The 25,534-nt window shown below is 41.2% G+C and overlaps 2 protein-coding genes across 5 annotated transcripts in view, besides 3 other annotated features; both read left to right on the top strand.

Annotated features, from left to right (window-relative positions):
• Positions 1-12,291, top strand: part of WDR12 (WD repeat domain 12) — a 37,413-nt gene extending 25,122 nt beyond the window's left edge. For both annotated transcript variants that reach the window (NM_001371664.1, NM_018256.4), the window contains 5 exons: positions 2,017-2,157; positions 2,249-2,354; positions 2,811-2,943; positions 3,769-3,841; positions 5,615-12,291. In NM_001371664.1, coding sequence (NP_001358593.1) covers positions 2,017-2,157; positions 2,249-2,354; positions 2,811-2,943; positions 3,769-3,841; positions 5,615-5,692 — 531 coding nt within the window. In that variant the 3' untranslated portion in view covers positions 5,693-12,291. The remainder of the gene's footprint in view (positions 1-2,016; positions 2,158-2,248; positions 2,355-2,810; positions 2,944-3,768; positions 3,842-5,614) is intronic.
• Positions 14,474-14,603: a silencer, noted in NCBI's record as "silent region_12251". NCBI's record gives its function as "represses an Ori minimal core promoter by ATAC-STARR-seq in GM12878 lymphoblastoid cells {active_cell/tissue: GM12878}" and the evidence as "EXISTENCE:reporter gene assay evidence [ECO:0000049][PMID:35858748]".
• Positions 14,664-14,713: a silencer, noted in NCBI's record as "silent region_12250". NCBI's record gives its function as "represses an Ori minimal core promoter by ATAC-STARR-seq in GM12878 lymphoblastoid cells {active_cell/tissue: GM12878}" and the evidence as "EXISTENCE:reporter gene assay evidence [ECO:0000049][PMID:35858748]".
• Positions 14,754-15,243: a silencer, noted in NCBI's record as "silent region_12249". NCBI's record gives its function as "represses an Ori minimal core promoter by ATAC-STARR-seq in GM12878 lymphoblastoid cells {active_cell/tissue: GM12878}" and the evidence as "EXISTENCE:reporter gene assay evidence [ECO:0000049][PMID:35858748]".
• Positions 14,786-25,534, top strand: part of ICA1L (islet cell autoantigen 1 like) — a 98,591-nt gene continuing 87,842 nt past the window's right edge. Inside the window, exons 1-2 of one of the 3 annotated variants that reach the window (NM_138468.7) lie at positions 14,786-14,933; positions 15,896-16,022. The gene's annotated coding sequence lies outside the window, so the exon portion shown is untranslated. Of the gene's footprint in view, positions 14,934-15,055; positions 15,392-15,895; positions 16,023-25,534 lie in introns of those variants that run through there. The other 2 variants (NM_001288622.3, NM_001288623.2) reach the window with 2 other exon arrangements.

The following is a 25,534-nucleotide window of genomic DNA, read 5'->3' as shown; positions in this document are numbered from 1 at the left end:
AGGTGATCACCCACCTCGGCCTCCCAAAGTTCTGGGATTACGGGTGTGAGCCACCGCACCCAGCTAGTTTTTTTGTTTGTTTGTTTGTTTTTAAGAGACAGACTCTCACTGTGTTGCCCAGGGTAGAGTGCAGTGGCACAATCTCAGCTAATGGCAACCTCCACGTCCCAGGTTCAAGCAATCCTCCCATGTAAGCCTCTCAGGTAGCTGAGACTACAGGAGTGTGCTACCACAGCCAGTTCATTTCTATATTTTTTTGTAGAGACAGGGTTTCAGCATGTTGCCCAGGCTGGTCTTGAACTCCTGAGCTCAAGTGATCCACCCACCTCGGCCTCCCAAAGTGCTAGGATTATAGGTGTTAGCCACCGTGTGTGGCCTCCTCTCTTTTTTTTTTTTTTTAGAGACAAGATCTCTCTTGTTCACACAAAAACCTAAATTACAATTATAAAGTGTTGTAAAAAACAACCCCTTATTAAAACAACTGTGGGCCGAGTGCAGTGGCCCACTGCAGGAGTGGGCCTGGCTGGAGTGCAGTGGCGTGATGGTAGCTCACTGTAGCCTCAAACTGCTGGGCTCAAGTGATCCTTCTACTTCAGCCTCCCAAATAGATATGACTATAGTCATGTGTCATTAAGCCCAGCTAATTTTATTTTTAGTAGAGACGGGGTCTTACTATGTTGCCTAGGCTGTTCTCAAACCCCTGGGCTCCAGTGATCCTCCTGCTTCAGCCTCCCAAAGCGTTGAGACTACAGGTATGAGCCTCTGTGCCTGGCTCTTCCCACTCTCTTTTATATACTCCTTATATTTAAGGTAGGTACTCTACCTAGTTACCTAGTTTGGGGCTTTTAGTTTAGAAAGACATTAGAGATTGTGGAGTATTAATAAGTGAACTGTGTACATTATTTAAAGATTAAATAATAGGACTTAAAGATACTGAGGAATGAGGTGGTAAGAATAACTTACTGAGATTAATTTACCTGGAGGAGTTGTGTAGAAATTGGCGGCATATTTTGTGTGAAGGTGCTGAAACCTATATCTGTCTGATCACAAAGGTTTTTGTGTTAACTGTGAAGCAGTTTCACTAATAACCAGTCTAAGGGAGGATTCCCACTGGTTGGAGGATAGTAAAGGTCATCGTATGCCAGGCACCAGGAATAGAAGTGTGAATACTTTCACCCACCGCATCCTGGGCTGCAGTTTTACCAGTTGCCTGAATCTGGTGAGGAAGAGCACACACGCAACACGTTACATGAAACGGGTTTATTACTTACAGATAGGCAGCAAGGGACAACAGAAGCCGAGGATCCATTGTGAGCCAGTCCCCCAAGGCTCAAGAAAGCTGCCAGGGGCAAATGGAGTGTTAACTGCATATGCCTCACTTGCAGTACAGCTGAGGGATCCCAAAAAACAGCCTGCCCTGGTTTTTGTACCCTGGGGTCACTTGACTCTGGGCAAAGTTTGAAGGACATCCTGTTTCTAAGAGCTGGAATAGAGCCCCCAGGCTATGCTGGCCAGTTGCTCCCTATCTCAGGATGTTATATTCCCAGAATATTCTATAGTTATTTTGAGAACTACAGGCAAGAAGAAAAGAGGGGGGGAGAAACTGTATCCATCAGTCCAAGGCCATTGGGAAACCATCCAGCACTAATCTTTAATATAACATTTGTCAGCTGGGAGAGTTAAGTTTGTGTTAATGCTGATCAAAATGAAAAGTAGAACAGATGAGGAGCAGCAGAATATAGTGGAAAGACTACAGACGAGTAATATTTGGGGTCAAATTCAAGTCTGCCACTTATAAGCTCTATGACCTTGGGCAAGTTATCTTTATCAGCCTCAGTGTCTTGTATAAAATAAAAACAGAAATATCCATTCCATTGTAAAGGAAGAAATAAGTCAGGATATGAAAGATGGGCAGTTTGTCTCTGTCATGTGGGCTTTGTAAGTAATAAGTACTATTATTGTTTCAATTATTCTGTAATGAAAACACTTTCCCCTTTTGGGGTTCTTCCTTTCTAGACTCCCATAGTGACCCTCTCTGGCCACATGGAGGCAGTTTCCTCAGTTCTGTGGTCAGATGCTGAAGAAATCTGCAGTGCATCTTGGGACCATACAATTAGAGTGTGGGATGTTGAGTCTGGCAGTCTTAAGTCAACTTTGGTAAGACAAATTCAGTGTTCTTTTAAGTGATAAACTTCTAGAGATGGTTTTTAGTCTACCATGGTTAATGTTCTTTCCTTTTCTTTTTCAGACAGGAAATAAAGTGTTTAATTGTATTTCCTATTCTCCACTTTGTAAACGTTTAGCATCTGGAAGCACAGATAGGCATATCAGACTGTGGGATCCCCGAACTAAAGGTGAGTCATGTAAACCACTGGGGGAATATATGTGTGAATAACATCTATTTCTCATCTCTCTGGAGATGTACAAAAAAAGGAATTTCTGGCCAGGCGTGGTGGCTCATGCCTGTAATCCCAGCACTTTGAGAGGCCGAGGCGGGCAGATCATGAGGTCAGGAGTTGGAGATCAGCCTGGCCAACATAGAGAAACCCTGCCTTTACTAAAAATACAAAAATCAGCTGGGTGTGGTGGCGCGTGCCTGTAATCCCAGCTACTCAGGAGGCTGAGGCAGGAGAATCACTTGAATCCCAGAGGCAGAGGTTGCAGTGAGCCAAGATTGCACTACTGCACTCCAGCCTGGTGACAGAGCAAGACTCCATCTCAAAAAAAAAATTTCTACAAATATTTTTTGGGTTCCTTCTACCTACTTCCCTTTTCTAAAATTCAACGCTTGTCTTTTTTGCTTTGTTCAGATGGTTCTTTGGTGTCGCTGTCCCTAACGTCACATACTGGTTGGGTGACATCAGTAAAATGGTCTCCTACCCATGAACAGCAGCTGATTTCAGGATCTTTAGATAACATTGTTAAGCTGTGGGATACAAGAAGGTAAATTCTATTTATGATCTATAAGAGAAACATATCAATTACCTGTTATAGAAAGGAAATGAATACTGAAATTCTTATCTAAAACCAGAAGAGTAAAAAAAGCCTCATGGTTTTGCAACCTCATGTGACAAATACTGATATGCAAAAGAAAAGCCAGGATCAAAAAAATTTTTGGCCAGGCACAGTGGCTCACACCTGTAATCCCAGCACTTTGGAAGGCTGAGGCAGGCAGATCACCTGAGGCTGGGTGTTCAGGACCATCCTGGCCAACATGGTGAAACTCTGTCTCTAATAAAAATACAAAAATTAGCCGGGCATGATGGCGCACTCCTGTAATCCCAACTACACAGGAGGCTGAGGCAGGAGAATCGCTCGAACCCAGGAGGCGGAGGTTGCAGTGAGCCGAGATTGCATCAGTGCACTCCAGCCTGGGCAACAGACCAAGACTCCATCTCAAAAAGAAAAAGAAATTCATGTTAATATGTTGTTTTGTTGCATATAGATAGCTAGACAAACAGTATATAAGGCCATAGTTTGGGGGTTAAAGTAGTCAAGGAAGTGTGAAAATGGGCCTAATTATAAATAAATTCTTAAAATGAAATAACATTTTTTTCTGAATATATTTGTTATAATAAATGTCTGTGGTCTACCAATGATACAGGAAAAAGAGGAGAGATGATCAAATAAACAGAATTTTAAGATTAAGTGGTTATTGGGGCAAGGTTGGTAAACCCTGTAAAGTTTTCAGATAAGTATAAGTGATTATTCAAATGTTTGTTTTAACACTGTGAATGCATATAATATGTTAATATTTTCATCTTTTAGTTGTAAGGCTCCTCTCTATGATCTGGCTGCTCATGAAGACAAAGTTCTGAGTGTAGACTGGACAGACACAGGGGTAAGAATTTATTAGTTATTTGATGAAGAGGAAAGTGACTAGAATAAATCTGGTGTTTGTGTTTATAAAATGTATTAGTTTCGGGCCGGGTGCAGTGGCTCACGCCTGTAATCGCAGCACTTTGGGAGGCCAAGGTGGGCAGATCACGAGGTCAGGAGATCGAGGCCATCCTGACTAACAAGGTGGAACCCCGTCTCTACTAAAAACACAAAAAATTAGCCGGGCATGGTGGCGGGCGCCTGTAGTTCCAGCTACTTGGGAGGCTGAAGCAGGAGAATGGCGTGATCCAAGGAGGCGGAGCTTGCAGTGAGCTGAGATCGAGCCACTGCACTCCAGCCTGGGAGATAGACTCCATCTCAAGAAAAAAAAAACATTTATTAGTTTCAATATATTTGATATTTATAATTCTGTATTATTTCACTTAATATTATTTATAAAATGTCACCTCTCATTCAAAGAAGAAACAAATTTGTCCTTTAATAGGCCAGGCATGGTGGCTTATGCCTGTAATCCTACCACTTTGGGAGGGAAAGGGGGAAGATTCTTTGAGCCCAGGAGTTCAAAACCAGCCTAGGCAACATAGTGAGATGATGTCTCTACAAAAATTAAAAAATTAGTTATCCATGGTGGTGTGACCTACTTGAGCCTACTTGAGCCTGAAGCAGGAGGATCACTTGTGCCTGGGAGGTCGAGGATGCAATGAACTATGATCGCGCCACTGCACTCTAGCCTGGGTAACAGAGTGATACCCTGTCTCAAAATAATAATAATACTAGGAATAGTAAATTTGAAATTTTGGAGCATTTTTTTTTCTTGTGAGTATAGTGGGTTTTTTGTTGTTTTTGCTGTTGTTGTTTTAAGAAACAAGGTCCTTTATTGCCCAGGCTGGAATGTTAGTGGTGCGGTCGTGACTCACTGCAGCCTTGAACTCCTGGGTTCAAGCAATCCTCCCGCCCCCATGTGTATCTTCTTTATTTATTTTTAGAGATTGAGGCTTGAACTCCTGGGCTTAGGTGATCCTCTTGCCCTAGCCTTCTGAGTAGCAGGGACTACAGGTGGGTGCCACCATATCTGGCAAATTTTTAAATTTTTTGTAGAGACGTGGTCTCACTGTGTTCCCCAAGGTAGTCTTGAACTCCTGGCCTCAAGCAGTTCTCCCGCCTCAGCCTCCCAGAGTGTTAGAATTACAGGTGTGAGCCACTGTGCCTAGCCCCCACGAGTATCTTCATGAAACATTTTACCTCCAAAAACTCACTACTTAAGACTAATTGGATCAAAGTGTTTACCAGTTGGAAAAATCTTGCATAAGTCTGCATTATAAAATGTGTTTAAAGAATTACAATTTAATTATTTTTATGTATATACGTAAGCTCTTACTGCCTAAGAATTCTTTCCAAATATAAGGCCTAGGGCTACTTGAATAATTTGTAATATACAATTAATGTGTTGTCCTTTAAAAATTTTTAATTTTCTTTAATAGGTAAAACTGTATCCCTTTCAAACTTATGTATCTTGGCAGATGCTTTATAGAAAGTGCAACAGCATATTATGTCTCAACCAAATTTAAATGATAGCTTTTAATGTTTTAATAAACTGTATCATAGTATAGTAGTGAAACAACGTTGGTCCCTTTACTCACTCTCAATGCAAGTTAACTGCTCACCCATAATTCCTTTTGTAATGAAAATCATTAGTATTTAATTAGGTTTAGCTATGATGTGAAATAATTATATTTATTTATGTTTTCTTGTCTTTTTCTCTCCTTTTACACAGCTACTTCTGAGTGGAGGAGCAGACAATAAATTGTATTCCTACAGATATTCACCTACCACTTCCCATGTTGGGGCATGAAAGTGAACAATAATTTGACTATAGAGATTATTTCTGTAAATGAAATTGGTAGAGAACCATGAAATTACATAGATGCAGATGCAGAAAGCAGCCTTTTGAAGTTTATATAATGTTTTCACCCTTCATAACAGCTAACGTATCACTTTTTCTTATTTTGTATTTATAATAAGATAGGTTGTGTTTATAAAATACAAACTGTGGCATACATTCTCTATACAAACTTGAAATTAAACTGAGTTTTACATTTCTCTTTAAAGGTATTGGTTTGAATTCAGATTTGCTTTTTTATTTTTATTTGTTTTTTTTTTTTTTGAGATGGAGTCTTGCTCTGTTGCCTAGGCTGGAGTGCAGTGGCGCAATCTCAACTCACTGCAACCTCCGCTTCCTAGGTTCAATCGATTCTCCTGTCTCAACCTCCCAAGTAGCTGGGATTACAGGCACACATCACGATGTCCTGCTAATTTTTGTATTTTTAGTAGAGACGGGGTTTTGCCATGTTGGCCAGGCTGGTCTTGAACTCCTGACCTCAGGTGATCTGCCCACCTCAGCCTCCCAAAGTGAGCCACTGTGCCTGGCCGAATTAAGATTTGTTTTTGAAATGCTGTAAAAGGTTATATTGGAAATCCAGTAATTGATTGTTGAGATTTTTATTTCTGTTAGAGACTTAGATTTTTTTAAGTTAGCTATTTTAAAAAAGCATTCAAAAAGATTAATGAAAATTGTAATAGAGAAAAAGTTAGAAATTCAGTTCCTTTTGGCAGAATAAATGTTCAAGAAAATTAGGCTGTGAGGGTACTCAGAACATTAAAAAAAATGTAGGCTGGGCATGGTGGCTCACACCTGTAATCCCAGCACATTGGGAGGCCGAGGCAGGTGGATCACCTGAGGTCAGGAGTTTGAGACCACCCTGGCCAACATGTCAAAACCCTGTCTCTGCTAAAACTACAAAAATTAGCTGGGCATGGTGGCGACCGCCTGTAATCCCAACTACTTGGGAGGCTAAGGCAGGAGAATTGCTTGAACCCGGGAGGCAGGGGTTGTAGTGAGCTGAGATTGTGCCACTGCACTCCAGCCTGGGTGACAGTGCAAGACTCTGTCTCAACAACAACGATAACAAAATATTGATTCGGCAGGGCACGGTGGCTCATGCTTGTAATCCCAGCATTTTGGGTGGCCAAGGCAGGCGGCTCACCTGAGGTCAGGGGTTCGAGACCAGCCTGACCAACATGGTGAAACTTTGTCTCTACTAAAAAAAAAAAAATCCAAAACAAATTAGCCGGGTGTGGTGGCACACTCCTGTGGTCCCAAGTACTTGGGAGGCTGAGGCAGGAGAATTGGTTGAACCCAGGAGGTGGAGGTTGCAGTGAGCTGAGATCATACCACTGTGCTCCAGCCTGGGCAGCAGAGCCAGACTCTATCTCAAAATAAAGACAAGTAGATTGCCAATTTTTGAAGAATTCATCAAGATATTTTAAGGAAGGCACTTTATATTAAATATATGTCAGATCCTTTAGAAATTGCATACAGTTGGTTGGGCACGGTGGCTCACGCCTGTAATCCCAGCACTTTGGGAGGCTGAGGCGGGCGGATTGCCTGAGCTCAGGAGTTCGAAACCAGCCTGGGCAACACAGTGAAACCTCGTCTCTAATAAAATACAAAAAATTAGCTGGGCGTGGCAGCATGTGCCTGTAGTCCCAGCTACTCCGGAGGCTGAGGCAGGCAAATTGCTTGAACCCGAGAGGCAGAGGTTGCAGTGAGCTGAGATTGTGCCACTGCATTTCAGCCTGGGCAACAGAGCAAGACTCTGTCTCAAAAAAAAATAAAAAATTGCATTGCATACAGTTTTCACTGTAACCCTAATCTTTCCTCATGTGTAGATTAGAATAAATTTTTTAGACAAAACCTTTCATCAGTATTAAACATTCTACAGATTTTATGATATCATTAGCATTTATCTTTATGCATGTGTTATATAAAAATATTTAAAGTAAATGTATTTTTTAAATGTTATTTCCATTATTAATGGATTGATACTCCTTAAGTAGAGCATTCACAACCTTTTAGTAATATTTGGGAAATATGTTTGGTCTCATTATTAGATGGTATTACATCTCAAATGATGTTCCTGTTGCAGAAGTCTGCGAAACAATATCTAAACTTGGCTGCAGTTGAGAGCTAAACAGTGTATTGAACCAGTTAGGAGTTTAGTTCTCTGTAGAAAACCAGAGGCAGTCCAGGGCTGATGTAGGTTTTGTTCCACATTCTTTAGGATCCTAGGCTCCCTCCATCCCTGGTATGTGGTCCTCATTTTCATATAGACCAAGAGCTAGAGCTCCAGTTACCATTTCTTAAAGTATATTTTAATGCCAAATAGTGAATAAAGGTGGCCAGAAAATTCATGCACAGAATCCTTCTTTTTCTCATTTTGTGCTGATTGGTATAAATTTTATTGTATTTGTAGTCTCTGGAAATCTTCTAACTTTGAGAGGACAAAGATGAATTCCTAGTCCTGTTTTGGATGGTCTTCAAATGATCCTTAAGGGCAGTTATTTAAAATGTCTTTCTTAACTCACCCAACCTAGGCTGACCGAATGTAGTCTGTATAAACTAGATGGTTAAAGATAAAGAAGCCTATATATCAGATGCATAGACAAAGAATAAAATGGCATCCAGAACTGGTCCCCACCTATTCCCAATCCTGGTTCCACAGCAGAATACATTCATAGTTCAGGCATTCTTCCTTGAGATAGATATAATGTAAGTGACCAAGTCTCTTGGACAAGTATTGTCTCTGATCAATCCCTGCCAAACTCCTTTCCTTGGTTAACTCAAGTGGTTAGATCTTACTCCCTGAACAGAAGGAATATGAGAGGTCAATACATGCCTAGACTATTCAGTCCTCTGATATTGCTCCACACCCTTTCCCTCAAAAGCCATGAGACCTTTCAATGGTCCCAGTTCCTCTACCAGAACACCAGAGATGCCTGCTTTACATGGACTTATATATTCCCAAGAATCACTTGGATAAATGAGTGGTGCTGCTTTCCCGTGGTTGGGGAAAAGCTAGGAACCTGACAATGCAGTGCTCAGAACCTGCTGACCGGTACTAGTTATGCTGTCTTGCCATAGTAGTGCAGTTCTTTAAAATGTTGATACTTGCTCTCTTATCAAAGGTTGGTTTTTTTGTTTTTTTGTCAAGACAGGGTCTCACTATGTCACCCATACTGGAGTACAATGGTGTAATCTTGGCTTACTGCAACCTCCACCTTCTGGGCTCAAGCTGGCCTCTCACCTCAGCCTTCCAAGTAGCTGGGACCACACCCAGTCAATTTTTTATTTTTTATTTTTTAATTTATTTTTATTATTACTTTTTTTGTAGAGAGAGGGTTTCGCCATGTAGCCCATGCTGGTCTTGAACTCCTGGGCTCAAGCTGTCTGCCCACCTGGACCTCCCAAAGTGCTGAGATTACAGGCATGAGCCACCGCACCCAGCCCAAATAAAGTTTTAAGAAATTACTTGGCCAGGCATAGTGGGGCCTTTGTAGAAAAACATAGCTTTTCTATGAGAAGATGATCAATATTTTCTTTTCCTTTGAATTTGGAATTACCATTTTGGAACTGTTGTCAACAATGCATAATAATATATCAGAATGCTTCCTAGTATATTATTGGAGAAAGAACAAACAAAAGTTTAAATTGATATAAAATGCATATAATGGAACAAGCAACCCTGCAAAAAAAAAAATATATATATATATATACCATCTGGGAATTTCTGATAATAACATTGAAATCTGTTCACACAGTCTAAAATTCTTTTGATGTATCGTAGTTTTGAAAAAAAGGTAACAGTTTACTATATATAACAAATATAAGGAAAATATTAAATTTTTTGAAAGATACTAGTTTTTATTTTTGTTCATTTTTTAGAGACAGGGTCTCACTATGTTGCCCAAGCTAGAGTGCAGCGGCCCGATTATAGCTCACTGCAGCCTCTAACTCCCGGACTCAAGGGATCCTCCCACCTCATCCTCCTAACTAGGACCACAGGCGCATGTCACCACATCTGGCTGATTTTAAAATTTTTTTGTGGAGACAGTCTTGCTGTGTTGCCCAGGCTGGTTATGAACTCTTGGCCTCAGGCAGTCCTCATGCCTCAGCCTCCCTAAGTGCTCGGATTATAGGCATGCCACTGTGCCTGGCCAAAAATACAGATTTTTTAATAGATATTACTATGGCTCCTATTCTTAAAGGAAAAAATATGACATTTTAAGACTATATGCAAGGGATATTCCAATAATATCTTTTTTATTTAAAAAGCCACTAATTAGAATCAGATTTCATTAGGCAAGTGAAATCCAGATTTTACTAGCCAGAAACTGCCAGGTGTAGAAACAGCAAGAACATTTTAGTCACTTCATTGTTGACATTTTTGACTATCATAGATTAAGTATCAAACACAATAACAGTATTTTGTTATATGAACCAAATATATCTCTTTTTACGAGACATAGTCTAGCTCTGCCATCCAGGCTCAACTCCTGGGTTCAAGGGATCCTCCTGCCCCAGCTTCCTGAGTACGTACCTGGGAGTACAATTGCATGCTGCCACACCCAGCTATTTTTTTTATTTTTGTGGAGATGGCGTCTTGCTATGTTGCCCAGGCTGGACTCCAACTCCTGACCTCAAGCAATCATCTCACCTTGGCCTCAAAAGTGCTAAGATTACAGGCATGAGCCACTGCATCCAGCCTGAACCAAATATATCTTTATTATAACTTAGGAGAGAAACGTTTTTGGCTGGTTAGTTTTACAGAATTAAACCTAATGGTTGTTCTAATAGCAGTTCCAATGATTTGCAGATTTGAGGAAGTAAATTATTTTCTTACAGTGTCCATAAAAGTAACAATGAAACTATATCCTACCATAATAATCCTCTATAGGTAATAAATTATTTGCATTTTATAGGAGAGAAAAATATATGTTAAAGTTTTTGAACAGTCACACAGGCAGGAAATAAATGGCAGTGAATTTGAACTTGGACTTATCTTGGACAAGCTCTTAACTGGTATATATTTTGTCAATCTTATGTCGTGCACAAGAATGATGTTTTTATAAATGGAAAGAATGAGTGTGGAAGTGTCTTCACTTGCCTAACAGAAAGGTTATATGTGGCTGGGCGCCGTGGCTAACGCCTGTAATCCCAACATTTTGGGAGGCTGAGGTGGGCATATCATCTGAGGTCGGGAGTTCAAGAATAGCCTGACCAACATGGAGAAACCCCGTCTCTACTAAAAATACAAAATTAGCCAGTCATAGTGGCACATGCCTGTAATCCCAGCTACTTGGAAGGCTGAGGCAGAAGAATTGCTTGAACCCAGGAGGTGGAGGTTGTGGTGAGCCAAGATCGCGCCATTGCACTCCATCCTGGGCAACAAGAGCGAAACTCCGTCTCAAAAAAAAAAAAAAAAAAAGTAATACATAAATTTAAGTGACATTTGTGGGTACTAAATTACAATAATATGTTCAGCTTTGCATTTTTTTGCCTTTAAAATTAATTTCAATTTTAGCGTGCCACTAAACGTATTACTGTAATAGTATATAAATGTATAAAGATCAATTTCTGTATATTCTAATAGGAATTGTATATAAGCAAAAATGAATTTTAGAAATTATCCTATTATTCATGTAATTATGTCATTCATGTTATTTAAAGGAAACCACAATGCAGACAGGTTAAGTACCTAGTGTGAAGGTATGTAACCAATTAATGGAGCTGTGCGACATACATCTGAGTAATAAAGACTACAGAGAAAGTATCTTGTTAGGTACTATCTGATACAAAGTTTAGAAACATGTCAAACAATTCTATGTATAGTTGGTGAAAGTGTAATAACATGGCTGAGACTTAATACCAGATGAAGTTCAGTGGTTTCAGGGGGAGGAAATAATTTTTAAAACGATGTCGATAACACTTCACATTTAAAATCATCATAATAATTCTAATTCTAGAATTGTGTCTAATTCTAATACTGTTTCTAGCTTTGCTTGAATAAACAGAAATGTAGTAGGGAAGAGACAGAATGTTTAGCTTGCAGTATCTAATTACTCATTTGGGTATCTGGGAAGATAGCTCTCCATGGCCCCACTGTCACTGACCTATAATGCTTCTCCTGACGTCTTCGGTAAAATCCAACAGATTACAAAGAAACTGGAATGCCTTGAAGAAATAGAGCTTTTTGTGTGATGTCAGATTCAATAGACCTCTAATCCTTAGTAAAACAGTACAAAACAGTAGAATAATTTTTAGTGTTTTCTAATATCAACTGAGGTTTTATTTGGGAGATTAACCAGAGGTTTGCACAAAAACAAAAGTGAAGACCATTAGTCTTTAAAGAAACTAAGACTCTAGGTTTGGATCCCATTTGTGGAGCCCTACATTCCAAGTCATCTAATGTTCTTGTCTAGTTAGCTTGTAAAAGTCTATACAATGGAGGAAAACCCCTTTTTTCCCCTTAGTATAAGTGTATTATATGTTGATAGAAAGGATAGAAAGTTAAATAACAGTTCAGTAAATGTACTTCTAAATGAAATTTAAAAGTACTTTAAAGGTGTTAAATTATTTCACTTTCTAAAGAGGTTTTATGCAACACTAAAATGTAATGACTGAGCTGCCTCCTTTTGTTAAGAGACTAGTGCAAGTAGAGTCTTGCTCTGTCGCCCAGGCTGGAGTTTAGTGGCACAATCCCGGCTTGCAACTTCTGCCTCCTGGGTTCAAGTGATTGTCGTGCCTCAGCCTCCCAAGTAGCTGGGATTACAGGTGCACGCCACCACATGGGGCTAATTTTTGAATTTTTAGTAGAAACAGGGTTTCACCATGTTGGCCAGGCTGTTCTCAAACTCCTGACCACAAGTGCTCCGCTTGCCTCAGTCTCCCAAAGTGCTGGGATTATAGGCTTGAACTACCACGCTCTTCCTAGTGCAAGCCATTTAAACATTGTATCCAACAGCTAAAGAAAGAATTCATTCCACAGGCATTTATGAAATATGAGAGACTTGACTCCTGTCCAGGAGAAGCATCAGCAGCTAGCTCTACATTATTTTCTGATACTATTCCTACACTGTGCCACCGTGTTTCCTTAGCGACTTGTGAAGAAAAAGTGATTATATGAAGTGTAAATACTACACTTCATTAATGGCTTGGAGATACTGTGTATCTTTCTGTAATTTTACCCAGTTAAGTGAATAAAAGCAACAGGCCCGGCCGGTAGCCATTATTCTGACTTCCAGGTGTGTTCCTTGGAGGACTTTAGTCGGCCTCAGATTGAGCTGAAGAAGATATTAGTTTACTGTTCTCTTGACTTAAAACTTCATCTTGTTGGAACAAACATTTTCTAAAATACCCCAAGAACTTTACTATGGGGCATAGTAACATTTGAAAGTCATTTCGCTTGCCACTTTATTTATTCCTTGGTGAGAAAGATAATCTGTTCTTTTCAGATATTTTATAATGTATCCTTCAGTTGTGAATTAGCTATCTTTGTTTCATTTCGTTCATTGATGGATTCAACATTCATTCAGGACCTAGTTTGTATTAGGCACTGTGCTAGGTGCTAAGGCTGCAGAAATGCGTAAGGGAGGAGCAGCTTTGAAGCAGCTCGGCACCTAATGGGGAAGACAGGCAGGTAGATCGTTACAGCCAGAGAGCAGTATGCCCCTTAGGAGAAATGCCTCATTTGGTAAGATTCAGGAAAGCCATCCCAAGGAAATAGGTCAATCACTCATGTTTGCCAAACGCTAATTTTTACCCTTCTGAGGAAAGCTGTAGACTCCTCAAAAAAACAAACAAAATTTTGCACATAATCTCAGGTATTTGCCTATTCCTTGAAATCCAAATATCTCAGGGTAAAAGTCTAAAGACATTTAATGTTTTCAGTCCAAATTAACCCTCTGTAGCTTGCCACTTTTCCTATTCTAAAAGTATAATTTCCAGGTTAAGGTGAGTATTTTGTACTGTTAATATTCCAGAACCTCGGCCGGGCGCGGTGGCTCATGCCTGTAATCTCAGCACTTTGGGAGGCCGAGGCGGGCGGATCACGAGGTCAGGAGATCGAGACCATCCTGGCTAACACGGTGAAACCCCGACTCTACTAAAAATACAAAAAACTTAGCCAGGCGTGGTGGCAGGCGCCTGTAGTCCCAGCTATTCGGGAGGCTGAGGCAGGAGAATGGCGTGAACCCGGGAGGCGGAGCTTGCAGTGAGCCGAGATCGCGCCACTGTACTCCGGCCTGGGCGACAGAGCGAGACTCCGTCTCAAATAAAATAAAATAAAATAAATTCTAGACTCACCCCATCTTTGTCATCATACAGATTTTAATTATCACCTCGAGTGTTAACCTTTTAATTCTTTGCTAGCCTATGTGTCGCAGTTGTAATTAATAATTCGTATTCTGCTGTTTTAGGAAAGTTCTTTTAAGTTTTGGAGTCACCTTTAAAAAGAATGAAGTTTGAATTTATTAAATTATCTCCTACTAGTAGTAAATAGTTTTGCCTTCCTTTTTGTTTTTTTCCTGAGACTTTCAGGATCCGGTTTTACCTTTTACTCTTGAAGATTCATCATAAACATTATGGATATGGATATGTGCATTTGAGATTGGTTATGAACGGTTGTTAACTTAGACCTCTTTAAACCTTTAACACGGGAGTTAAATACAGCGGGCGAACGCTTTCCGCCTAAGGAGCACTGGTGCTAAGGGGCCGCCCCAGAAGGCCCGGCAGGTCCGGGGGTGGGGGTGCTCGGAGGGAGCCGGGAGGGCCCCGGGCCAATGCCTTCCACTTCCCCACGCCTCAGAGAGCTCACACTCAGCTCCTCGTAATGTTCTGACCGGTTTGGTGTTTGTCATTTCACTTTATTAAGTAAAGAGGAAATCGGGAAAGGAGGAATAGAGAGGGTCCCCGAGTTCATTCAAGAGCAGACCGAGAGATGCTCCGATCCCGAGTCGGGCCGGTGGCGGGGTCAGGCCGGCGCCCGAGGGGGGCGAACGCGGACGCCAGGTCGCGCGGTTTAAATCTCCCGCCTCCCGCAGCGGGAGCCTGACACCTCCACGCACTGGTGCGGAGGGGCACTGGCTGCCGGAGGGCCGGGAGTCGGCGCGGGGCTCGCGGGCGGTGGCCGGAACGGGTGCCGGGACGGATCACCGTACGGCCGAACGCGACCCGAGGAGGCGGAAGAGCGGCGCCGGTAAGCTTCTGCTGCCTCCTGTCCGCCCCTATTCCCCCTCAGGCGGCGGTCAGGCCCGGAGACCAAATCCCGGGTTCCCATGGCGACGCCGGGAGGCGGGGGCGCGGCGGGAGGCTCCGGCCACACGCGCGCGCGCGCGGCTTCTCGGGGCCTTGCTGGCCTCCTCGGTTCTCTGGGGGACCCCGGCCGCTGCCTGCGGCCTTCTTCCAGGCGAGGCCCTGCTCGGGGTTCTTCCGGCCTCCCCCCAGGCAAAACCCGCAAGGAGCGGTTTCTGGCGTGGCTGGGTCCCCTGCGGCGGAAGGGCGCCTCCCGGCCACGCTCGCTGTAGTGAAGGAGCGCGGCAGCCTGGGGCTCGTTTGGGTGATTTCCCTCGGCGGTGGAGGTCGCTCCTAATAGAGGCGGCGGCGGATCACCCGAACAGCCTTCAGGTGCTTCCCTGCTGACCTCTTTTTAACGTGGTGCTTATTTTTATTTCGCTATTATTTTGTAATGGGAATGTCTTCCTTAGAAACTAATTGGCAACCGATGGATAAAAACAAAACATAGTAAATGTGCAGTTTGAGCTGAACTGCAGAATGCACGGGCCCGCGAGGGGCTCCGCGCACAGATCCTGCTCCTTAGGCCGGCAACCCGACCCCACGGCACAGATATGGCTCCTGGAAACGCGCGTCAGCTGGTCAGGTGCCCAGGTGATGTCAGTGGTCAGATACCTGATGCTCTAAGGAAGACGGAGAGGGGAAAGCGGGGAGTCCATCCTGGCAGCTCACCCGCGATGCTGGGGCGTTGCCAGTAGAGGGGGTGGAATCATTTTTCGTGTAATAGATGATCTTGATGCACACAGCATAAAAGCTGTTATAAACTATGGGTCTCTGTAAAATAGATTGTTGGGAAGGTAACATTTTTCCATGGTTTTGATTTTTCCCAAAAGTATTTATGTATTGATTTATTTGGTTCTGACTCAGGCGACGTACTGTAAGACGATATTACTTTAATCATCTTCACATCAGTATTTATGGAATAGCCACAGGTGCCTCATCCTTTAGTAGGAGTTAATTATACATTTACTGGCCGAGTAAACATCTCCGAATGGTATGTATGTATTTTTATGTGACCAAAATTTTAAATCGTTTAGTATTTGTTATCTGTGCCTATCATACCCAGTATTCTTTGAAATCTCTTTATTTAATAGTTCAAAATGATTGTTTATCTAGTCGTTGAAACAGCTATGTGGAAGGCAGTGTTCTAATTACCAGTTTAATTTTAGAGTTAGAAGGGTGCTCAGAGATCAGCCAGTCCAAAGAGGAAAAATTGCAAATATGAGAACTGGTGGAAAAAGTAGGATGCCATATTTTTATTATAAATATCATAAAAATATAAAACAAAGTTTATACCAGTTATGGAACTAGGACCAGATATCAAAATATTAGATACAAAATAGATAATATACTGTCTTGTTCTACTATACTGCCAAACTTGGTGATTTCATTGTGTGATTCTATATTTACATTTTTTCTGTACTTTTATACTTTAGCTTTTTCAGTACTCACTGCGCTTCCTTTAAAATTTTATTCTTTTTATATTCTTTAACAACAACAGATGGGATATGTGAGTTTTAAATATATCTGTAACTGGAAAGATTTCCTCGTTCGAAGTAGATTTTGTTATTTAATAATATTCTTATTACCCTCTTCCATTTTGTCTATTTTTCATTCATCACTTAAGTTTTGTGTTTTTTTCGGAAATCAAAATTTTCAAACTTGTACTTGGATCCAGTATTCACCATTAAAATTTAGTCACCTTCTATGTATCTCATTATTATTTTGCCATTATTGACTCACTTGCATGTAACACTAGGGTTTTAAAATTCCTTTTTTAATTTAGTTGAGATAAAAAAAGACTAAAATTCCTTTTTTAATTTAGTTGAGATTAAAAAAAAGACTAAAGTAACACAATATCTATATTTACAGAGGCCGACATTAACAACTGTTAACATTTTGTTGTATTTCTTTCTAGTATTTTTTTAGATAAGGAAATAAAACATTTCCAATAAAGCTGAAGTCTCATCCCACCCATCCGTTATCAGGTACTCAACATCATGAGTTGGTATCTGTGTTTTGTGTTTTTTAAATTATATTTTATACATGTCTATTATTGCATGTGTTTTTAAATTTTAAATAAGTTACATCATATTGCATATAGCCTGCACTTGTGTTTTTCACTCAGTGTTATTTTATTTTATTTTATTTCTTATTTTATTTTTTTGAGACAGAGTCTCGCTCTGTCGCCCAGGCTGAGTGCAGTGGCAGGATCTCGGCTCACTGCAAGCTCCGCCTCCCGGGTTCACGCCATTCTCCTGCCTCAGCCTCCGGAGTAGCTGGGACTACAGGCGCCCGCCACCACGCCTGGCTGATTTTTTGTATTTTTAGTAGAGTCGGGGTTTCACCTGTTAGCCAGGATGGTCTCGATCTCCTGACCTCGTGATCCGCCCGCCTCAGCCTCCCAAAGTACTGGGATTACAGGCGTGAGCCACCACGCCTGGCCTCACTCAGTATTATTTTAAAAATTGATTTGGATTGATATTGATAGTTTTAGCCACTGATGTATTTGTTTTAAATGTTTTTTGTTGTTGTTGTTGTTGTTGTTGTTGTTTTGAGACAGAGTCTTGCTCTGTCACCCAGACTGGAGTGCAGTGGCGCGATCTCAGCTCACTGCAACCTCTGCCTCCTGGGTTCAAGCGATTCTTCTGTCTCAGCCTCCCAAGTAGCTGGGACTACAAGCACATGCCATCACGCCCAGCTAATTTTCTTATTTTTAGTAGAGATGGGGGTTTTACCATATTGTTCAGGCTGGTCTCGAACTCCTGACCTCAGGTGATCCACCAGCCTCAGCCTCCCAAATTGCTGGGATTACAGGCGTGAGCCACCGCGCCCGGCCTTAATTGTTTTATATAGTATTCTGTCATATGAATATACTACATTTTTATCTGTATAGCTTTTTATTAATATACTTAGATTGTTTCTAGTTTTTTATTACAATGCTAAAATAAGTAGACATTCATTTGGTAAATACTTATTGAGTATCTACTGTGTGTCTTGCACTGTTTGCTCACAAACAGATGAAAATCTCTGCCCACATAAAGCTTTAAATACCTAGCGGTGGAATTGCTAGGTCATGAAGTAGCAGCATGTTTAGTTTTATGAGAAACTGCTAATCATTTTCCAAAATGGTTATACTATCTAATGCTTTCATCAGCAATATATGAGTTCCAGTTACTCACATTCTCACCAATTTTGGTGTTGTCAGTCTTTGTCATTTAAGCTATTACCATGGATGTGTATTGGTATATCATTGTGGGTTGAGAATTCATTCCTGCTCTTTTATCAAAAGTTTTTTTTTGTTTTTGAGGGGAAATTCAGATAATATACAATTAGCCTTTTTTTTTCTTTTTTTACTTTGGCTAAACAAACCCAAACAACCGTTTCGAAGTGTACAATTCAGTGATATTTATTGTTTTCACAATGTTGTGAGATCACCAGTTCTCTCTAGTTTGAAAACTTTTTCATCACCCCATAAAAACACCCCTTACTCATTAATTACTTGGTTTGTAGTTTTTCTGTTGCTGAGTGGTATTCCATTGCGCAGTATACTATAATTTGTTTATTCACCTGTTAATAGATATTCTAATTTTTGGCCATTTTGAATAAAGCTGGCAAGAACATTTACAGGTCTTTGGGCATATTTTTCATTTATCTTAGGTAAATACATAAGAATACAATTGCTGGATTGTGTGCGTTTCCAAGAAACTCAATTTTTTCTGAAGTGGTTATACCCATTTTATATTCCCACGACCAATGTATGAAGGTTCCAGTTGTTCCTCATTGTTGCCAGCACTTTGAATTGACAGATTGGTTGTTAGCAAGATCAAATGGGGGTGTGCTGATATCTCTTTGTGGTTTTAATTTTTGTTTCCCTGATGAATAATGTTGAATATATTTTTATGTGCTTAATGGCCATTAGTATACAGTCATATACTGCATAAAGGTGTTTTGGTCAATGATGGACCACAGATATAATAATAGTCACATAAGATTGTAATAGCATATTTTTATTGTACCGTTTCAGTGGTTAGACATGTTTAGATACACAAATACTTACCATCATTGTGTTGCAGTTGCCTACAGTATTCAGTACAGTAACATGCTGTACAGGTTTGTAGCCTGGGAGCAATAGCTCCTAGGTATGTGGTAGGCTTATAACATCTAGGTTTGTATAAGTACATTCTATGATGTTCTCACAATGATAAAATCATCTAATGGCACATTTCTCAGAACATATCCCCACAGTTAAGCAATGCATGACTGTATATGAATATCTTTTGTTAGTTTGCTCAAATAATTTATGTATTAAAATGAGATTTTCTTATTACTCAGTTGTAATTATTCTTCATATATTCAGAACACGGGTCTGTTCATATGTGTGTGTACGTATGAAAAGTTTCTTCCAAACTTTTCATTTTCTGAATTGTGTTTTTCAAATAGCAATTTTAAATTTTGGTGAAATCTAACTTCTTGATTTTTTTTCTTTTATAATGCATGTTTTAAATAGTCTAAGAAATCATTGTCTGCCCCAAGGTTGCAAAGATTTTTTTCTTCTGGGAATTTTACAGTTTTTTGAGATGGAGTCTCGTGCTCTCGCCCTGGCTGGAGTGTAGTGGCACGATCTCGGCTCACTGCAACCTCTGCCTCCTAGGTTCAAGCGATTCTCCTGCCTCAGCCTCCTCAATAGTTGGGACTACAGGAGCCTGCCACCTCACCCAGCTAATTTTTTGTATTTTTAATAGAGACGGGGTTTCACCATATTGGCCAGACTGGTCTCGAACTCCTGACCTTGTGATTCGCCCGCCTCAGCTTCCCGAAGTGCTGGGATTACAGGCGTGAGCTACCGCGCCTCGCCGGGAGTTTTACAGTTTTAAATTTTACATTTAAGTCTGTTACACATTTTGAATTACTCTTTGTAAATGATGTTAATTAAGAGTTGAGCAATTCTTTTGACATATGGATATCTGGTTGTCCTTGTATTGTCTGTTAAAAGTCAGTCCTTTCCACCAATGAATTGCTTTGGCACCTCTGTTAGTCCATTTTGTGTTACTATAAAGGAATACCTGAGACTGCGTAATTTATAAAGAAAAGCAGTTTATTTGGCTCACAGTTCTGCAGGCTGTACAAGAAGCATGGTGCAGCATCTGCATCTGATGAGGGGTTCAAGTTTCTTCCATCATGGAGGAAGGTGAAGTGGGAGCAGGCATCGCATGGTGAGAGAGGGAAGGGGGCCGAACTCTGTTAAACAGCCAGCTCTCACATGAACTTAGAGAGTAAGAACTCACTCATCACCAAGCCATTCAGGAGGAATCTGCCCCCATGACCTCCCAGAAGGCCCAACCTCCAATATTAGGGATCACATGTCAACATGAAATTTGGAGGGGACAAACATCCAAACTATGTCAGTGCCCTTGTCAGAAATCATTTGGTTGTATATTTATGGATCTATTTCTGTGTGTTCTTTAATTTTTCTCAGCAATGTGCTAATAGTTTTTAATAGCACTGTGGTACATATTTCACTGAATTTGTTGCTAAATATTTCATGACTTTCGATGTTATTAAAAATGAGAATGGATTTTAAATTTCACTTTCTAGGCTGGGTGTGGTGGCTCACACCTATAATCCTAGCACTTTGGAAGTCTAGGCGAGGGGAATCACTTGAGGCCAGGAGTTTGAGACCAACCTGGGCAACATAGGGAGACTCCATCTCTACCAAAAAAAATAAAATTTCACTTCCTAATTGTTTGCTACTAATATATAGAAATGTGATACTTTTGTTTTACATTGTCTAATTCACTAATTGCTGAATTTGCTCAGATCTGTTGCATTAGATCTAGTAGATTTTTAAAAGATTCTTTAGGATTTTTTGCATACATAATCATGTCACCTGTGAATAAAGACATCTTTGCCTTTTCCTTTTAAATGTGGAAGTGGTGTGAGCAGTCATCTTTGCCTCTTTCCCAATATTAAAGGTAAATATTCACTATTTCACAGTTAAGGATGATGTTAGCTCTGTGGGTTTTTTTGTTGTTGTTTTCTTTTTTTTTTTTTCGGGATGGAGTCTTGCTTTGTCACCCAGGCTGGAGTACAGTGGTGCACTCTCGGCTCACTGCAACCACCTCCTCCTGGAATCAAGCTATTCTTCTGCCTCAGCCTCCTGAGTAGCTGGGATTACAGGAGTGCACCACCACGCCCGGCTAATTTTTGCATTTTTAGTAGAGACAAGGTTTCACCATGTTGGCTAGGCTGCTCTTGAACCCCTGACCTCAAGTGACCCGCCCGCCTCGGCCTTCCAGAGTGCTGGGATTACGGATGTGAGCCACCATGCCCGGCCAAAGAGGAGATTTTTTTTTTTTAAAAGACAGAGTCTCACCCTGTCGCCCAGGCTGAAGTGCAGTGGTGTGATCTCAGCTCACTGCAACCTCCACCTCCCGGATTCAAGCAATTCTCCTGCCTCAGCCTCCTGAGTAGCTGGGATTACAGGCAGATGCCACCATACCCAGCTGATTTTTGTATTTTTTAGTAGAGGCAGGGTTTCTCTGTTGGCCAGGCTGATCTCCAACCCCTGACCTCAGGTGATGCACCTGCCTCAGCCTCCTGAAGTGCTGGGATTACAGGCATGAGCCTCCATGCCCAGCCACACCTGGCTAATTTTGGTATTTTTAGTAGAGATGGAGTTTCACCATGTTGGCCAGGCTCCTCTGGAACTCCTGATCTCAGGTGATCCACCCACATCAGCCTCCTAAAGTGCTGGGATTACTGGCGTGAGCCACCGCACCTGGCCCATAGACTGATTTTGAAATGCTAAACAAATCTTGCATCCCTGGCATAAATTCCACCTAGTTAGTCATGTTTTATCCATATATATATATACACACACACACACACACACATATATATATACACACACACATATACATACATACACACACACTACTACATTAGATTTGTTAGGATTTTGTGAAGGGTTTTTGCATTCATATTTAATAAAAATATTGGTCTGTAGGCGCCTGTAATCCCAGCACTTTGGGAGGCCGAGGCGGGTGGATCACGAGGTCAGGAGATCGAGACCACGGTGAAACCCCGTCTCTACTAAAAAATACAAAAAAATTAGCCAGGCGTGGTGGCAGGTGCCTGTAGTCTCAGCTACTGGGGAGGCTGAGGCAGGAGAATGGCGTGAACCCGGGAGGCGGAGCTTGCAGTGAGCCGAGATTGCGCCACTGCACTCCAGCCTGGGCGACAGAGCAAGACTCCGTCTCGAAAAAAAAAAAAATTGATCTGTAATAATCTTTTCTTGTAATGTCTGTTTGGTTTAGAGGGCAAAGTTATGCTGGCTCATAAAATGAATTGGGAACTATTCTTTCCTCTTCTACTCTATGAAAGAGTAAGTTTGGTTACATCCTAAATGTTTGACCGAATTCAGCAGTGAAGCCATCTGGTTCTGAAAGGGTTTCGTTTTGTTTTCATGGGATTTAAACAATTATTTATTCACTTTTTAAAATGAGTATAAGATAATATGGATGATTCTTTCTTGTGTTAGTTTTTGGTAAGTTGCATTTTTCAAGGAATTTGTCTATTTAACTTAAGTTGTAGAATCTTTTGGCATAAAGTTGTTAAAAATATACCTTTCTTAATCTTTTAATGTCTGTAGGATCTATAGTGACGTTCCTTCTTTTATTCCTTTTTTTTTTTTTTTGAGACGGAGTCTCTCTTTTGCCCAGGCTGGACTGCAGTGGTGCTATCTCGGCTCACTGCAAGCTCCGCCTCCCGGGTTCATGCCATTCTCCTGCCTCAGCCTCCCGAATAGCTGGGACTACAGGCGCCCACCACCACGCCGGGCTGATTTTTTGTAATTTTTTTAGTAGAGACGGGGTTTCACCATGTTAGCCAGGATGGTCTCAATCTCCTGACCTCGTGATCCGCCCACCTCAGCCTTCCAAAGTGCTGGGATTACAGGCGTGAGCCACCGCGCCCGGCCTTTTTTATTCCTAATATTGCTCATTTATGTTTTTCTTTCTTTGTTGATCAGTCTTACTAGAAGCTTTTTAAATTTAATAATTTTTTCAAATCAACTCATTTTTAACTTTAATTTTCTTATTTGTCCATTCTCTATTTACTGACTTTATTATTTTATTTCTTCTACTTGGGGTTTAATTTGCTCCTCTTTTTCTAACTTCTTAAGGTGGAAGCATAGATAATTGATTTTATACCTTTTTTTCTTTTTTTATTGAGATGGAGTCTCACTTTGTCACCTAGGCTGGAGTGCAATGATATGTTCTTGGCTCATTGCAACCTCCGCCTCCCGGGTTCAACTGATTCTCCTGCCTCAGCCTCCCAAGTAGCTGGGATTACAGGTGCTTGCCACCACACCCGGCTAATTTTTGTATTTTTAGTAGAGGTGGGGTTTCACCATGTTGGCCAGGCTGGTCTCAAACTCCTGACCTCAAGTGATCTGCCTGCCTCGGCCTCCCAAAGTGTTGGGATTACAGGCGTGAGCCACCGTGCCAGCCTTTTTTTTTCTAATGTAGGTATTTAAAGCTGTAAGCTTTTTTCTAATCATGCTTTAGTTGAATTCCACAACTGTGGGTATGTTTTTATTATCATTCAGTTTAGAATATTTTAAAATTCCTCTCTGATTTCTTTGACCCTTTATTTATTTATTTATATTTATTCTTTTTTTTTTAAGATGAAGTCTCACTCTTGTTGCCTACGCTGGAGTGCAATGGCACAATCTCAACTCACTGCAACCTCTGCCTCTCGGGTTCAAGAGATTCTCCTGCCTCAGCCTCCCGAGTAGCTGGGATTACAGGCACCTGCCACCATGCCCAGCTAATTTTTGTATTTTTAGTAGAGACGGGGTTTCACCATGTTGGCCAGGCTGGTCTCGAACTCCTGACCTCAGGCCATCCACCCGCCTCGCCCTCCCAAAGTGCTGGGATTACAGGCGTGAGCCACCATGCCTGGCCTATTTATTTAGATATATGTTATTTCCAAATATTTGGGAATTTTCTAGATATCCAATTGATATTGATTCCTGTTTAAAACTTTTTACTTTTTTTTATAGAGACAGAGTCTTGCTCTGTCACCCAGCCTGGAGCACGGTGGCATGATCATTGCTCACTCCCTGCAGCCTCACACTTCCTGGGCTCAAGTGATCCTCCCACCTCAGCCTCCAAAGTCGCTTACACTACAGGCGTGTGCCAGCACTTCTGGCCTTTTTTTTTTTTTTTTTTTTTTTTTTTTTTTTTGTAGAAATGAGGTCTTACTGTGTTGCTCAGACAGGTCTCAAACTCCTGGCCTCAAGCAATCCTGCTTCACCCTCCTGAATCACTGGGATTACAAATGGGAGCTACAACACCTGGTTTCTATTGATTTCTAAAGTAGTAATATTGTAGCCCAAGAATGTTATCTGTGTTATTTCAATACTTTTATTTTTCTGCCTAGCATATGGTCTGTTTCGGTGAATCTTCCAGTTACTCTTAGGGAAAAATAATGTATTCTGCTCTTGGTGGGTGGACTGGTGTATAAATGTCAATTAGGTCAAGTTGGTTAAAAGTGTTGCTCAAAAAAAAAAAAAAAAAGGCGGAGGCTTGCTTAAAACTTTCATGGTTTCACTTTTTTTTTTTTTTTTTTTTTTGAGTCTGAATCTCACTTTGTTGCCCAGGCTGGAGTGCAGTAGCATGATCTCGGCTTACTCACCCTCTGTATCCTGGGTTCAAGTGATTCTCCTGCCTCAGCCTTCCCAGTAGCTGGGATTATAGGCATGTGCCACCACACCCAGCTAATTTTTGTTTTTAGTAGAGATGGGGTTTCACCATGTTGGCCAGGCTGGTCTCGAACTCCTAACCTCAAGTGATCCGCCCGCCTCAGCCTCCCAAAGTTCTGGGATTACAGGTGTGAGCCACTGCACCTGGCCTTCACTTTTTAAAAAAATGTCTACTTATGTCAGTTACTATTCTGGGGGCAGTGTTAAGTCCCTCATTGTGATTGTAAATTTGACAGTTTCTCCTTTTAGTTCTGTCAGGTTATTTTTTTTTCTTGTATTTGGGAGCTTTGTTATTTAGTAACATCCATAGTTAAGACTGCTATGTCTTTTTTTTTTTTTTTTTTTTTTTTTTTGAGATAGTCTCGCCGTGTACCCAGGCTGGAGTGCAGTGGCACAGTCTTGGTTCACTGCAACCTCTGCCTCCCAGGTTCAAGTGATTCTCCTGCCTCAGCCTCCCTAGTAGCTGGGACTACAGGTGCGAGCCACCACTCCTGACTAATTTTTGTATTTTTATTATTTTTTTATTTTGAAATGGAGTCTCGCCCTGTCCCCCAGTCTGGAGTGCAATGGCACAATCTCAGCTCACTGTAACCTCTGCCTCCTGGGTTCTAGCAATTCTGCCTCAGCCTCCCAAGTAGCTGGGATTACAGGCACCCGCCACCACACCCAGTTAATTTTTGTATTTTTAGTAGAGACGGAGTTTCACCACGTTGGTCAGGCTGGTCTTGAACTCCGTA

Source organism: Homo sapiens, chromosome 2, assembly GCF_000001405.40.
Source record: "Homo sapiens chromosome 2, GRCh38.p14 Primary Assembly".
Lineage (NCBI taxonomy): Eukaryota > Metazoa > Chordata > Mammalia > Primates > Hominidae > Homo > Homo sapiens.
Note: the sequence above shows the minus strand (reverse complement) of the source record. Positions and strands in the feature narration are given on the sequence as shown.